This window comes from Homo sapiens, chromosome 1, assembly GCF_000001405.40.
Source record: "Homo sapiens chromosome 1, GRCh38.p14 Primary Assembly".
Classification (NCBI taxonomy): Eukaryota; Metazoa; Chordata; class Mammalia; order Primates; family Hominidae; genus Homo; species Homo sapiens.
Genome location: NC_000001.11, coordinates 214,398,181 through 214,410,703, shown reverse-complemented (window position 1 = coordinate 214,410,703; position 12,523 = coordinate 214,398,181). Strand labels below are relative to the sequence as shown.

General features: G+C 42.1%; 1 protein-coding gene across 6 annotated transcripts in view; it reads left to right on the top strand.

The window, feature by feature from the left end:
• Nucleotides 1-12,523, top strand: part of PTPN14 (protein tyrosine phosphatase non-receptor type 14) — a 202,903-nt gene that overhangs the window by 140,899 nt on the left and 49,481 nt on the right. For all 6 annotated transcript variants that reach the window (NM_005401.5, XM_017001941.2, XM_024448759.2 and 3 more), the window contains 2 exons: nt 7,751-7,821; nt 8,932-9,019. In NM_005401.5, the coding sequence (NP_005392.2) occupies nt 7,751-7,821; nt 8,932-9,019 (159 nt within the window). The remainder of the gene's footprint in view (nt 1-7,750; nt 7,822-8,931; nt 9,020-12,523) is intronic.

Below are 12,523 nucleotides of genomic sequence, written 5' to 3'. Positions count from 1 at the left end.
TTCAGCAATTGGTGCTGGGAAAACTGGCCATCTACATGCAGAGGACTGAATTTGGATCCTTATCTCACCCTTTGTACAAAAGTAAATTCAAAATGTATTAAAGACTTAAATGTGGCCAGGCGCGGTGGCTCACGCCCATAATCTCAGCACTTTGGGAGGCCTAGGCGGCCGGATCACAAGGTCAAAAGGTGGAGACCATCCTGGACAATATGGTGAAACCCCATCTCTACTAAAACTACAAAAATTATCTGGGCTTGGTGGCACACACCTCTAGTCCCAGCTACTCAGGAGGCTGAGGCAGGAGAATCGCTTGAACCCCTGGTGGAGGTTGCAGTGAGCCGAGATTGTGCCACTGCACTCCAGCCTGGCCACAAAGCAAGACTTTGTCTCAAAAAAAAAAAAAGAAAAAAAAAAGACTTAAATGTAAGACCTGAAAGTATAAAACACTAGAAGAAAACATGGGGGAAAAGCTACATGACATTGGTCTGGGCAGCGATTTCTTGCATATGACCCCAAAAACATAGGCAACAAAAGTAAAAATAAATAAATGAGATTGTATCAAACTAAAAAGCTTCTGTGCAACAAAGGAAACAACAGATATAAAGAGACAACCCACACATTGAAAGAAAATATTTGCAAATTATACATCAGATAAGGGGCTCAAAATATATAAGGAACTCAAACTACTCAACAAGAAAACAAATAGCCCTATTAAAAAAATGGTCAAGGGACCTGAATAGACATTTCTCAAAAGAAATATACAGAAGGCCAACAGACATATGAAAAATGCCCAGCATCACTAATCATCAGGGAAATGCAAATTGAAACCACGATGAAACACCACCTCATACCTGTTGGATTGGCTGTTATCAAAAAGATGAACAATAACAAGTGTTATTGAGTATGAGGAGTAAAGTCTTACTGAGCATGAGGAGTATTGAGCATGAGGAGTAAAGTCTTACTGAGCATGAGGAGTATTGAGCATGAGGAGTAAAAGATAACAAGTGTTACTGAGCATGAGGAGTAAAGGAGGTATAACTTCCAGCCATTTTGGAAAACAGTGTAGAGGTTCCTTGAAAAATTAAAAATAGAACTACCATATAATCCAGCAGTCTCACTTCTGGGTATATATCTAAAGAAAATGAAATGGTATGTCAAAGAGATGTCTACACTCCCATGATCATTGCCACATTATTCATAATTGCCAAGATATGGAAACAACCTAAGTTCTCACTAGCAGATCAATGGGTAAAAATGGTGTATACTCACAATGGAATACTATTTGGCCTTAGAACAGAATTTTGTCATTTGCCATAAGATGGATGAATGTAGAGTACATTATGCTAAGTGAAAAATCCAGGCACAGAAAGACAAATACTGCCCAATCTCACTTGTATGTGGAATCAAAAGAAGTTGAACTTATAGATGTAGAGAGTGGAATGGTGGTTACCAAAGCTGAGTGCTGGGTGGAAGGAGGAAATGTTGATCAAAGGGTACAAAGTTAGGAATAAGTTCTGGTGATTTGCTGCACAGCAAGGTGACTATCGTTGATAATAATGTGTATTTCAAAATTGCTAAAAGAGTAGATTTTAAATGTTCTCACCACAAAGAAATGATAATTATAAGAGATGATGGATATGTTAATTAGACTAACTTGCCAATTCCACAATATATACATGTGTCACAACATCACATTGTACTATAAATAGATGCAATTATTATTTGTCAATAGAATTAAAGTTTTGTTTTGTTTTAACAAAAAAGACATTTCCCTGCTTTGCTTCCCTCTCTCTCATTTACTCTCTACCCTCTGGCACGCTGGCTCTTTTTTTTTCTGAACGTACTGAGCTTCTCCTCACCCCAGAGCCTTTGTAGGTGGGTTTCCTCTGCCTGGAATGTCCTGCTCCAGATCTTTATGACATTCAGGTCTCAATTCAAATATTACTTCCCAGAGAGCTCTTCCTTTCCTTAACCACCTGTCTCATACACCCTCACCATCCTTCCTGTTAAATCAGTTTTCGTATGTGTAGTTCTGTATCTGGCGTTATTCATTCTTATGTATGTACATATGTATGTATTTATTATTGTCAGCTAGATGGTCAGTTCTATGGTCTTTAAACAGGGACCCTGTCTTCTTCACTGTCATCTGGCACACAGCCTGTGCTCACAAACATTTTAGAATGAATCAATAGAGTAAAATGCCCATTCCTGGGTTGAAGTAAAGATAAGACTAGGTTTTAACCCCTGGGGAATTTTTGTTGGTTGGTTTGTTGGTTGGTTGGTGGGTAGCTTCAGAGTAAAAGAGAAGAGTGTTAATGAGGAGGGATTAAAAAATTTTGAAAGCCATTTTAGGGAACAGCTCTAACCAATCAACATTCTGGCTCTGGTTTCAGAAATCATGATCATTCACTACTTATTTTTTCCGTCAACTCTTTCACCCCAAGCACTGACCTGGGGGACTAACACCCAGGGGATGAAATTATATAAGAAATGGTGCTTGTTTTCAAGGAGACTACAGTGTGGTTGGTTAAATAGGAAGTTTGCAAAATCAGAATAAAAAGCCAAGTGTGATAAAGTGTGATCAAAATTTTATATGGGGAGAGGTCACATGCCCTTGGGGGATTAGGGAAGGCTGAAAGACTAATGGCATGTGTGCTGTTAGGCAAAAAGATAGGGAGCAAGGAATGATTTAGACAGAGAGAGAAGGAGCAGAGGCAGTGTGGCCTGGGTGTTCAGAAAGCATCCACTGGCTGGTTTGACTGTAGCTACGGGTGGAGAGTTGTGGCAGATGAGACTGGAAACTTCTGAGGAGTTAGAATGCATGGGCTCCTTTGAGTTCTGCAGACCCCACACTTTGAGAACTGCTGGATTCAAGCTGGTCAGCTGGGAATCTTGTTGTGTTCTGGGCAAAGGATATAATTTAGGTGTTAGTGAAAGAAAAACAAGAAAGCAAAGCAAGGGATATTTTGAAGTAAAATAGGCAAAATCTGGCAACTTATCAGTGATGGCATATGGGAGAAAGTAGAGTGTCTGGTGACAAAGGTTTTAGGTTTTGAGAGACTGGGATAGGTAAGTCTGGAATTATCCATATTAGTGCATGAGGTCAGTCTAAATTGGTCCAAAGCTAATCTTGGTCTTAATGGTTAGGGAATATTGCACATCTCTAACTTTTCATGAATAACTCCATTCATTCTTTTTTTTTTTTTTTGAGACAGAGTTTCACTCTTGTTGCCAGGCTGGAGTGCAATGGCACCATCTCAGCTCACTACAACCTCAGCCTCCTGAGTAGCTGGGATTACAGATGCCCACCACCATGCCCAGCTAATTTTTTGTATTTTTAGTAGAGACGGGGGGTTTCACCATGTTGGCCAGACTGGTCTTGAACTCCTAACCTCAGGTGATCCACCCGCCTCAGCCTCCCAAAGTGCTGGGATTACAGGCGTGAGCCACTGTGTCCAGCCTCCATTCTTATTTTATTTCCCTCCAAGTAAACAGTGGTATTATCTGCTGTGCCTGCTGTTTTCATACCTTATTAATTCTACTCATTAAATGAAACTCCAGAGATTAACATATTACTTAACAGAGCAGTTCTTCTTAGGGCTTAATGTCAATATGCTTGAGTCAACATTTCTAATGTCTCAGAAGCTCATCCCAAAAGTCAGGGTGTTTCCCAGCGTGCTTGGTGGGAGGGAAGTGAGGCTCAAACCTTAGAATTTTAGAGTGTGTACATGTTTGTGTCAAATGGGGTAGTTGGTATTGGAGGGTTGATAATTTCCTATTTCTTATTCGCCTTACTCTCATTAAAGGCCTTTATTACGTTGCCTTTAGGAAGAGATCAGGTTTGGGTGCTTCTCAGAGTTTTCAAAGGTGATTACCAGCATGATATTTATGAGTTTGTAAATGGTAAAATGCTCTGACAGGTTAAAGTGCTATGAAGTAGTAAAGGAGTTATTTCGTGCATCATACCTCTTTCAGAATGAGACTGTGTTTCCACTAAACTCTAGGCAAATCAGATATGTAAACAGCATAAACTTCATAAATCTCATCATTGGACAGACAGATATTGACATTGTTATTCTTGGATCTAAAATGGCTCTCTTCAGGGTGGTAGCTGCTAGCCATGTGTGGATATTTATATTCAAATTTAAATTAATGCAAGTTAAATAAAATTAAAAATTTAGTTGCTAGATTGCATTGGCTACTTTTTTTTTTCTTTTTTTTTTTTCAGACAATCTCGCTCTGTCACCCAGGCTGGAGTGCGGTGGCGCAATCTCAGCTCACTGCAACCTCCGCCTCCTGGGTTCAAGCGATTCTCCTGCCTCAGCTTCCTAAGTCCCTCCTGTGACAACAGGCATGTGCCACCATGCCTGGCTAATTTTTGTATTTTTAGTAGAGATGGAGTTTCACCATGTTGGCTAGGCTGGTCTCAAACTCTTGGCCTCAAGTGATCTTCCCTCCTTGGCCTCCCAAAGTGCCGGTATTACAGGCTGAGCCACTGCAACGGCCTTGGCTACATTTTTAGTGCACCATAGCCGCATGTGTCTAGAGGCTACTGTATTGGAAAGCTCAGATATGGAACACTTTCGTCATCCCAAAAAGTCCTGTGGGATGCTGAAGATGATGTGGCAGAAGCCTTATCCGAGTTGTGAATATTCCTAGGCTTTAGTTATCAGCTGTCCACTTTCAGCCCCTGCCCCTGCCCCATTGTATCCTGGGTGCACTGTGACCTGTGGTTGGCAATCTCGTGGCACCTTTGCTAGGCAGTGCTGTGACCCTATCCCAGCTGTGCCTCTTATTGGCTATATGACTTTGGGCAAGTTTTTTAACCTTTCCAACCCTCAGTTTTCTCATCTAAAAATGAGAATAACAAGCCTAATTTCGTTGTAAGCATTAAAAGACATAATACATTGTGAAATACCTAGTATGAAATACATAATACAAGTTGCCACATGGTAAATTCTCAATAACTGTTTATTTAGTTGTCATATTATTATTGTTATTAGCACTATTATTCTGTCTCTATGTCTTGCAAATATAAGACCGTTGAAGAGTGTGTTTTCCAGGTAACATCACTCTATGCTTTTTTTTTTTTTTGGATTTTGTTATGTGAGCAGACAGAGTGCAGGCAGAAGGTACAAGTGATTGTTAATCAGCTCTGTGTAATTAAACTTTTGTTTGACAATATGAAATTTACATGTCGCATAGTGAGTTCAGTTCAAGAAGCATGTATTGATCACTTACTATATATTTAGCCCTTATAAGCTGTCATTGCACAAAAGCCCTATGATAGGCCCCTTAAGTGATATGAAGAAGAATTGCTGCCCTCGAGGAGCCTGTACTCTGATAGAGGGTGGGAGACAAGGATCAAGGATAAGACGAGTATACACATAACTGTGTAAGAAATGCAGTAGGCAGAATACGAGAAGAGACACGCACAAGGGGAAGAGGTAGTTCAAAAGGCGAAAATGCTTACGTCCAGCTGGGGAGAGAGGAGAGCCCTATTGAGGGAAGTGGTAGCTGAGACAGGACGTAAGGATGATGTGGCATTTCACACTGCATGACGTTATGGGATGGTTCTCCCAGAGGGGATGGGCATGTAAAGGCCCATCCTTTCCGAATGGAAATGTAAAAGCAGTGTGTGTTAGAAGAGGTGTCGGCCTGGGGCTTGACCTCTTGGGCAAGGAGGTCTGGAAGGGGAAGCTGAGTCACATTGAAGAATGGTCTGCATGCCAGGCCCAGGTGTTGACCTTGCTGAGTAGGCCGGGGGTAGTCTTAGAAGGGTGTAAACTTTTTCCTTGGTTCCACTGGAGCTTTCAAAGAGAATGCATTCCTTTGGTGGGGGAGGGAAGATAGGATGAATGGCTGTGTTTGATCTTATGAAGTAATTGAATTTGTTAAATGGCATTTCTTCAGCAGAGAAAAGAACAAAGTCAAGTACACAAGGCGCTCCACAGGTGTGTGGCTGTGTACAGGCATGCATTCTGCCATTTTTCATTCCCACAGGGCCATGCTCGCACTCTCCCTGGCAGGGCACATACCTCAGGGAGGCCCCAGGTGCAGATGGAGGCGGTTAAGTTGAGAACAATAGCAGAGGGGGTACCTTTGGGCTTCTTTTTAAAAGTAGGAAACGGAGATTTAATGGAACACTTTTTGATCTTCACTTTATTTTATATTCTGTTGCCACATGCCCTTCATTAGCTTTTCAAAATTAATGGGGTTTTTACTCAATACCTGGATGCACATACATAGCTAACTTTCTAAGCCTTGTGATATCTTTGTTACTCCACAACATGAAACTAAAAATGTTGAGCTTATTTCCTATCACGGACTTGAGTCATTTCAATGGATGGCTAAACAGGAAACCGCAAATTAATCAGTTATGTGAAAAGTAAGAGCTGCCATAATTCCCCGTCTGCTCTAAAGTCTCTCGTGAACTCTAGAATTAGCAGGATGTGCAGAGCTATAGAATTTTTAGCATACATTTATGTCTGTGCTTTCCAGTTTTAAAATATATTGATTTTTCAGATTTTAATGATTTGAGATGGGATGTTTTTCACAGTTTTGAGGTGTACATTTTTAGGGGTAGTGTTTTCATCCATGTAAAGTTAAGTTGGAGATGAATCTTTATATAAGTGGTATTTTAGAATCAAAGGAATGGGGCGTTTGGTATGATTTCTGCCAAAACATCAGTCCCTACCTCCCATCCTAGTAGGATGAGCTTCAGGTACCCATCAGGGTGTAGCTCAGAGTTCCTTCTGACATCTGCTCTGGAGGTCACAGGAAAATGGTGCCCATCTGTGACCCTCTTGGTGCTTACTAGCCTGGAATATGTGGGACCTGCTGCCCAGGAAAGCTAGAGGCAGCTGGCTTGGGGCTTGAGCCCCAGGCCACCACAGGCATGAGACAAACTCTAGAATCTCTACCTCTATCAATTTCTCAAGAATGCATTGCTTCGGTCTGCTTATTTTGGATTATTCCTCTTGATTCCATCTCACCATCCTAAGCAGTGCTTCCCTGGCCAGTGTTTAGCAAGCCTATTTCTGTGATGTAAATCCTCCCACTGTGGTGTTACGGAAGGGTAGTTGGGAAAAGATGTGTGTAATCAGTTCTTCTGAGCCCATAGTAGTCAGCACATCACAGGTTCCAGGGGCCTGGGGTTCAGCTGGTAGAGATGCTGACTAGTCAGCTACGCAACTGTTGCCTTACAGAGCTCTCTGGAGATGTTTTAGCCGTCATGGCTTCCTCTGCCCCCGTGACCATCAAGTAACATCAGAATGAGCCTACTCTGCCTTCAGTGGTTTTGAATTCGTTTCCTGGTATACAGAAAGGCCTGGCACAGTCCCTTCCTAGGCTCAACTTTTGAAGGGATGATGGCCTGGAAACTCATTGGCCTATACCCCAATCATTAGAAATATGTAAGCACACGCAAAGCATTTTTTATAAACGTACATCTGAGAGGCAGGCGGATAGGGAAGAATGAATGAAAAGAGCTATTCCCTGGCACCACAGAACTTACGCGGCAACCCAAAATATGCCTGGAAATAACCTGTTATAATGGAGAGCCGTGTTATAACAGTAGAAATCATAACTCAGTTCTAAAAATTACAACCTTTAATTCTACAGCAGTAAAGGAGATATTGAGGAAATGTGACTAATCAGGAACATCTGAGGAAGGGAGCTTTAAGATTTGCAAGCAAAATAGCAAATGCCCACACCCTCATGTGACCTTAAGCACTTTCTATTCTTATAGGATTTGGCCCTGGAAGAGGCTGTTCTGGAGGAGCTGACCCAGAAGGTAGCCCAAGAACACAAAGCCCACAGGTAAGGCAGGCAGAGGGTAAGGGGCTGCCTGCACAACAGATGTTTACAGCCCATGGGGCAGGAGGCATCCATCTCCCTATCAGCAACTCTGGGCTTGAGCCAACACACTTGTATTTATTCCACCACGTGACTCAGCTCTGTACTTCCGTTCTGCAAAAGTGAATGTCCACTTGAAAACTGCTCCGTTCCTTCCTTCCCTCCCTCCCTTCCTTCCTTCCTTCCTTCCTTCCTTCCTTCCTTCCTTCCTTCCTTAGAGAATCTGGGAAGCCTGAGACAGCCTGTGCTGAGAGAGTGAAGACCTAAAGTGCTGTGTTGGGTGGTAGGCAGGTGAAGGAAAGAAAAAGAGAGAAACTTTAATTCAAGGAAGCACCAGGAGTTTGATATCGAGGCCTATGCAGTGATCCTAAGTTCTCTCATCGTGGCTTTTTTTTTTTTTTTTTTTTTTGACAGAGTCTCGCTCTGTCACCCAGGCTGGAGTGCAGTGGTGCGATCTCGGTCCACTGCAACCTCCACCTCCGGGGTTCAAGCAATTCTCATGCCTCAGACTCTCGAGTAGCTGGGATTACAGGCACATGCACCACCACACCCAGCTAATTTTTGTATTTTTAGTGGAGATGGGGTTTCACCATGTGGGCCAGGCTGATCTCAAATGCCTGACCTCAAGTGATCTGCCTGCCTCGGCCTCCCAAAGTGCTGGGATTATAGGCATGAGCCACGGCCATTTGACTCCCAAAATATTATCCTCATGATAAACTTTTTCCTTTTTTTTTTTAATAATGAAGATTTCTCCCAGATGGGAGAAAAATAACTTCTTTTTAAAGTAGGCAACATATTCGAAGGGATGTCTGGAATAATGATTTCATGTTTACAGGGCTGTGGCTCTTAATTAAATACTTTACCTTCCTCTTATTATTCGCTGTTAAGTAAAAGGCTACTGGGAAAGATGTCAATGAATTACTTAGTAATGCACCCTACCCTCACAGTTGGGTAATGATTGCTCTTCCCAGAAACTAGAGCTAAACCACAGCTCTGGAATTTGCCATCAGGAGAGTGGGATCTTCCACTGGCTGCCCTTAACCATTTCTTCCTTTGATGCTATTTTGATTTTAGTGGAATCCTGCCAGCAGAAGCTGAACTGATGTACATCAATGAAGTTGAACGTTTGGATGGATTTGGACAGGAAATCTTCCCTGTAAAGGTAATATGCTGTGCCCTGTGCTGGCTTTAACCTTCTCAGACCGGTACTGGCATTTGGAAAACCATTGTTGATAGCAGTGGGCCAGAATGGCTTGGCCTTCTTTTTGCTATGCAGCCTTAGTTGGCAAGTCCAATTTATTATAGATAAACAAATGCTTTTTCTTAACCAAGACGTTTTGAAGTTTGCCATGGTCCTCAGCAGAATAGTTCAATAAGACAGTCCATCTAAGTGAGTACCAAGCATCAGCCAATCCGGCACCTTGGAGGTATCAAGGCTGATATCCAGCCTTATAACAGGACAAGTAGCCAATGTCATGTGTAACATTAATGAAGACTCTAGTCAGTAGTTTTCTTATTCTCTTTTTCTCTTCATTGAGCCAATACAGGGATAATCGTTTGTGAGGTAGAATGAAACGTTTCTTGTATACAATCATGCTTTATTTCTCCAGCTTTATAGGGCCCTCCCCTGTGGGTTCCTAGCCCCTTTGGTGTTTTATGGAAGCTATGCCTCGGAAACTGCTATAGCACATCACATCCTTTGCAGCACATCCACCTCCTGAAGTGGGTGTGGTTGGGGGGGTCATGGATCATAGTCATTTATAGAGCTGAGCCCATCATCCAAACTCATTTTCCACTCTCTGTTGACCAACTTTACAAAAAATGGAGATTTATCAGAAACCTAAAGCAACTGGCACATTTCAGCAATTTGGGAGATGCCTGCAATTTCAGCACAAACATTTCACTCCAGACTAGCTCCACTGGCTGTTTTATAAGTGTTCAGTTCCCCCTCTGTTGCACGTTTGCAATTTGCCTTAATGAGAACTGCCCATGTGCATCAAGTAGAATCGAGCAGGGTGGCCGCAGCTTTCAGAAAGGGCTAAATGGCTCTTTTTTAGATTTGTTTAATTTTCTTTTGCTTCTCTAATAGCTGCCCTTCATAGGGTTGTAATCCATTTTCCTTGCCATAATGCCTTATGAAGCCATCTGCATCCCACTTACATTTCTGCAGCCCATATATAGTCATATTTTGGGTCATTGAAAAATCAGAGTAAACTTTTCTCTGCTTCTAGAAAACTGACTTCTCAATCTCTGGAAGTTGGAGGTTTTGTTGTGGCAATTTGCTTGTGTTGTTTTTTAATGTGGACTGCGAGAAACAGGGGCAGTTGAGGTCATGTTGAAATCTGCTGTGGTTGGTTCTGATGTGCTTTCTAGTATGTTCTTTCTTTAGTGGGACCAACAGGGTTATAATACCTTCCTCTGAGTTGGAAGATAGGCGCTTCTGACTTATTGCCAAGCTCGGGTAACTGAGCTGGACTGCCTCTTTTTCTTCTCTTTCCCCCCACATATGTGTGCATATCTAAGGTGACCACCTATAGACCGCATGATTCCTGGTGACTCAAGGATGAGGGTGGGAGCAACAGTACCAGTGGGGGGTGGTAATGTGGTCAGCTCTGCAATAAGTGAAAAAGCAGACAAGAAAATATGCAGGGAAAGACTGTGAGTAGGACTGGAGTCTCTTTTGATTGGTACAGGTTCTTATTGACAAAAAGCATGTCATGATATATCCTAGGAAAAATACTTGAATTTAGCATGAACTTTTCCGTGAGTGGTTCCTCAAAAATTTTCAAGAGTAGAACAGCAGTGGACTGGCAGATGCAGATGTTGTACAGGAAGAAGAACCCCCTGCTCAAAATACTATCCAGTGAGCCTCAGGATATATTTTTTTTTAAATTTTGCTTCCTTGAAGGAGTAAGATACTTACAAAAAGATGCATCTAGAAAACAAAAATAAACTCTGAAATTTAAAATGTGATATCAGAAGTGTACAACCTAATAGACAGGTTAGAAGATAAAACTGAGAAAGTCTCACCAAAAAACAAAGTAATGGTAAGTCGGGGACAGGAGATAAAAGAATTAGAGGACCTGTCCAGGATGTCCAATATTTGAATAATGGGAGTTCTAAAAAGAGTGAACAAGGGAAACAAAAGGTAATTATTCGAGAAAATATCCCTGCACTGAAGAATGGGAGTTTCTGCACTGAAAGGGCCAGAGATGGTAGCTGCAAAGAGACACATCGAGAGCTTTAAGAGGTGAAAGTTTTGGCCTCTGTGCAGAGGAAGTGGTAGGGACAGGTCTCCTCTTGGCTTCCTTTAAACAAGCCCTGAAGAATATTCAACTCTTCAAATTATTGCATGTATAACGATTTAAAAAACAAAAACTTTGGTAAGGTTGAAAAATAAAAGACATCAATAGATGTTCATGAAAGAGAAAATCCAAATGCCAATGAATCTGAGAAAATCCAGAGATTGTCTCTTAAACTGGACATGTGTTGTGACAAATTGAGAAAAAAGGAAAAAAATATCTATCTCTCTATCTATATAGTCCACTAGGATGTGTGGTGGGTGAGTTCCTGTAGGACCTGACCCCGCCGACACAGCTGGTCACCTTATTGCTGTGATGTTGTCTATGATTTATTCTACTCATGGGTGAGAAATGGGATGTGATGCCTGTGGGTTTTGAAATAACGTGTATATTGTGGAGTGGCTAAATCAAACCAGTTAACATATGCGTTACTTCACATATTTCTTTGTGGTTAGAACACTTAAAATTTACTCCTTTAGGCCGGGCACGGTGGCTCACGCCTGTAATCCCAGCACTTTGGGAGTCCGAGGCGGGTGGATCACGAGGTCAAGAGATCGAGACCATCCTGGCCAACATGGTGAAACCCTGTCTCTACTAAAAATATAAAAATTAGCCAGGTGTGGTGGCATGCACCTGTAGTCCCAGCCACTCAGGAGGCTGAGGCAGGAGAATCGCTTGAACCTGCTGGGAGGTGGAGGTTGCAGTTAGCCGGGATCACGCCACTGCACCCCAGCCTGGCAACAGAGTGAGACTACGTCTCAAAAAAAAAAAAAATTTACTCTTTTAGTGATTTCAAGAATACAGTACATTGTTGCCGGGCACAGTGGCTCACACCTGTAATCCCAACACTTTGGGAGGCCGAGGATGGAGGATCACTAGCCTGGGCAGCATAGCAAGACCCTGTCTGTAAAAAAAAAAAAAAAAAAAAAAATTAGCAGGGCATGGTGGTGCATGCTTGTAGTCCCAGCTACTTGGGAGACTAAGGTAGGAGGATTGTCTGAGCCCAGGAGGTCAAGGCTGCAGTGAGCCAAAATTGTGCCACTGCTCTCCACCCTGGGCAACAGTGAGACCTTGTTTCAAAACAAACAAACAACAACAAACACCAATATATTGTTACTAACTATGCTATGGTCACAATGATACCTTGAACTTAGTCCTCCTGTCTAACAAGGCTTGATTTCCTTTGACCATCATCTCCCCATTCCTCCCATTCTCCAGCCTCTGGTAACCACCATTATACTCTATCCTTCTATGAGTTCAGTTTTTTAGATTCCATGTGTAAGTGAGAACACGTGTTATTTGCTTTCTGTACCTGGCTTATTTCATTTAGCATTGTGTTCTCCAATTCCATCTGTATTGTGGCA